Genomic DNA, 3,805 nt, shown 5'->3' on the forward strand with positions numbered 1-3,805 from the left:
AGGGCACAGGTCTCGCCAAGCAAGGCCAAGGTCAAGGTCAGAATCAGGCAGAGCCGAGCTCCTCCGCTGGAGTTCTGAGTGTTCCTGTGGGACCCTAGGAAGCTGGCTACTTAGTGGCTTAGGGGGCTCCTGAGCTGACCCCAAAATCAGGTTCTCTGGCTGCACCCCACGCTCAGGCCTGACCCAGGTGGCAGTATCCGGAGGGAATGTCTCATAGCCCCTCTGGGGCTGCCCGGGGGCTGTGGGTTGGGGAGAGTCCCAGCCATAGAACACTGAGGAACATTTTGTCCTCTGTCAACCTGCAGCCAGCAGAGGATGCCAGACCCTGATCCCAGGTACCCTGGAGCCAGGGCAGGTGCCACCCTAGCTGCTGACTGTGCCCCAGCCCATTTCTCTCTGCTTTCACAAGCTTGTTGTTTGCTGTGTGATTGCTCTTATGACCCTATCTAAGCCAGATGTGGTGGCATGTGCCTGTAATCCCAGCTGTTCAGCAGAGTGAGGCAAGAGAATCATTGGAGCATAGGAATTCAAGGCTGCGATGAGCCATAATCACACCACTGCACTTCAGCCTGGGTGACAGGTGAGCCCCTGTCTCAAAAAAAAAAAGACCTCCAGCTAGGAACCTGGGCTTTTCCAAACTGGAGACAGGACGCACTCAGGGGAAGGAATTAGCCCACCACCCAACGGTGCACCTCTGACCCTGCTTTGGCAGAAAACTCAGACTGTGGGGCTATAGGGGAGGCCTTATTGGAACTGGCTGCCAGGCCTGGGTTAGCTTTCAGCTGGCAGGGAGAGGGACAGCTGAACAGAGGAGCCGAGGTGAGGTTGCATGGGCGCTTCTTCTGTACAGCAAAGAGAATCCCCTGGCAGGTCAGGCAGACCAAGATGTGAGACCTCTTTGGCCGTGCGCTGTGGCATCAACCCAGAGATTTGTTCTATGGACAAAACCCCTCCACGAAACCTGGCTGTTTGTTCTCTGTTTCTTTGTTCTGAACTGGAAGAACTATCTGCGTGGTGGGAAGAGGAGAGCCTTATCGCTGGGGTTTATTGTGGGGCTATTAATAATGAGCGCGCCCCCTGCTCCAGGGTGGGGGAGATAGGCTGGGGTGTCCAGCCCAGTCCGTGGAGCCCCTTCCTCCTGGCCCTGCCAAATTCCTCAGAGCCCAGTGGATAAGATTGGCGGTTTCTACTTCCCAAAGGTCCTGGCCTGGAATTCTTATCCAACTCCAGGCTCGTTTAACTTGGATGAGGGAGGAGGTGGCTGGCGAGGGCTGGGAGCTTAAGACCCCAGTGAGGGGCTGGGGCCAGAGAGAAGCCACATTTCTCCCAGTGACTTGATTCCTGAATTCTTGACACTGCTGTGCAGAGCCTCCTGCCCCCATCCTTCCTACCAGGCCCTGATTTCTCTCCATTTCCACAACCCTAAAGACAACTCTAAAAGCGAATGCCTGGGTGCCCTCTCATACAGCAATGGGCAGGAAGGAGGGAGGGGTAGGGAGGGAGAAAACCCAGCCTGGACACAGCCTGAGAGACCCTCCACTGTCCTGGGCCCCTCCCTGTCCCTGCTCCATCCAGCCCCACAGCTGGAGAGAGAGAGTGAGCTTCCCTCCTGCACAGTGAGGCTCGGCCTCGTGACTGGGAGCCTCCCCGCCTGTCCACATATGTGTTCAGCTGGTCTCCTACTCACCCTCCTGCACCCTCTGCCTGCCACACTGCTCACCCAGACCCTACCTGTCCCCATCCCAGGTCCAGTCTGAGCCACGAGGCTTAGCAGAGACACTGCTGCCTTGAGGCTTTTGGGGTTTTTGTGTGTGTGCGAGAAGGGGTGTCCACACCCATGCTGTGGGCTCCCTGGTAGCAAAGGGCTGCACACCCACACTCTCCCCTCAGTGAGCTTCCAAGAGGGGGCAGGGCACACAGGCCATGCTCGGTATGTGTCACCATTAGTGAGTCATGGCAGTGTTTGGAAAGTCCACAGGAGCAGGCCTCTGGAGTCCGGGATTCTAGAACTGACCAGACCACCAGGTGCTGCGCGACCCTGTGAAGGTCGCCTCACCTCTGGTCTGTGGCATCCTCAGTCCTACCCCAGGAGGAGATTAGGTCAGTCTGTCCCTGCAGAACCTGTTATGAAGGAGGCCAGGGAGAGCTCGGCATGTCACATCAGGGTCACGCCACTCCGGGAGTTCATCCCAGGAATGATGGGAGGGGTGCTGGGGCCACCCTGCCCTGAGGCTGGATGGGATTCTGACCTGGTCTCCAGACAGGACCTCTTCATTCCTAATTCCCAGAAGCAGAACTCTCGCCTGGCCTCCAAGAGCTCTCCTCCAGGAAGGAGGGACCACACTGACTCGGGCCCTCCCCCAATTCCTCCTGAGCCCCAACCCTGCCAAGCCTGGGACCCTCCCCAGCTCAGAGCAAAAGTCTGGGCTCTGAGGTCAGTGACCCTGGTGGGCTGCCCTCTCTCCATGCTCTGGGTCCAAGGACAGATGTAGGTTGAGGGGCCTCAGGCAGTCCTCCACCTCCCTGACACTGGAGAGGGGCCTCAGTTTGGGGCGTGGGCTGGCACTGGGCTGTGAGCTTCACCAATGCAGAGAGTCCGGGGATGACCACTCAGGAGCCTGCCCGGGGCAGTTTCCCAGAAACGGTGGGGTAGGGTGGCAGGGGAGGGAGGAGCTCCAGAGGATCTTGCTGGGTTAAGACGGGGGCTAAAGGTGGGGTGGGGATGACCCTTCCTGGAGGAAAACAACACCAGGGCCTCGAGGACCGGAGGGAGAAGGAAGGAGCCCCTTGGAAGGGAGGCTGACCTTGCTGTGCAGCCGGCCCTGCCCATCTGAGTTCAGCCTCTTCCTGGGTTCTGTTGCTTCAGTGCTGCTGCTTTGCTCCGATCTAAAGCGCTCACAGAGCCCTACACCTGGGTTTTCTCTCCCTAGACTGGCGGTTTTCAGCCCTGGAGGGGTTGAATCACCTGGGGAGCTTTCACAAACACTGGGGCCGAGACTCGCAGCAGAGGCTCGGATTTAATTGGTCTGGGGTGTAGGCTGCTCAGGACTCTGCCTCAGGGCCTAACCTGTCTCCAGGGAAGGCACCTTCTCCAACGCCTTTTCCCCACACTGCTAACACCCAGCTCACCCAGGAAGATGACTGTCACAGCTGGTCTGTCCTGCAGGCGAGGGCCAGCCGCCTTACCCGGGCACCTCATGCTGGCCACCCAGTGCAGACCCACAGTAAGGTGGCAGCTTCTGCTCCGGCAGGAATAGAGGCTCACCTCATACCTGCCCCACAGCCTCAAGCTCGGGTCAGACATGGAGGAGGGCATGGGTCTGGCTCCTCCCCTCTCCTTGTCCAGCACTGGCCGGATGGTGTCCCCCGCCTGGCACTATCGCGGCAACCATGTTCCTGGCAGGAGGAAGTGTGGCAATTGCTGGAAGGGCCAGTCTGCAGGCCAGGCCAGCTGGGGTGTCCCCTTCTTCACTGAACAGGCCTCTTCATGGCCTCCAGCCTCATTTGCTGTCATCCAGTGGCCGCTTTTCAGGCCCTCTCTGGGTGATGTTGATGCCATGGACCGTCCCCTCCTCTGCCTCCTGCCTCATCTTCTAGAACACTCCCCACTCCCCCAACTGTCCTCTCAGTGGACTCCTCAGTCTCCCCTGCCACTTGCCCCAAATGTGGGTCCCCTGGGGACTGGCCTCAGTACTGTCCTCGCTCCACATTCTCCAAGGAGTGACTTCACCCAAACCACGGTTTCAAATGCTATCTGTGCCCAAGGCCTCTCGAGCCCGGACCTCCTTTCTGAATTCCGGACCCC

The 3,805-nt window shown here is 58.9% G+C and overlaps 2 annotated features.

The window, feature by feature from the left end:
- Window positions 1,998-2,627: an enhancer, noted in NCBI's record as "H3K4me1 hESC enhancer chr18:46517299-46517928 (GRCh37/hg19 assembly coordinates)". NCBI's record gives its function as "activates a minimal SCP1, AML or CMV promoter by ChIP-STARR-seq in naive H9 embryonic stem cells {active_cell/tissue: H9 hESC(naive)}" and the evidence as "EXISTENCE:reporter gene assay evidence [ECO:0000049][PMID:30033119]".
- Window positions 2,143-2,291: a silencer, noted in NCBI's record as "fragment chr18:46517444-46517592 (GRCh37/hg19 assembly coordinates)". NCBI's record gives its function as "represses an EF-1alpha promoter that drives an FKBP-Casp9 reporter gene in an ReSE screen in K562 erythroleukemia cells {active_cell/tissue: K562}" and the evidence as "EXISTENCE:reporter gene assay evidence [ECO:0000049][PMID:32094911]".

This window comes from Homo sapiens, chromosome 18 (genome assembly GCF_000001405.40).
Source record: "Homo sapiens chromosome 18, GRCh38.p14 Primary Assembly".
NCBI classification, from domain to species: Eukaryota; Metazoa; Chordata; class Mammalia; order Primates; family Hominidae; genus Homo; species Homo sapiens.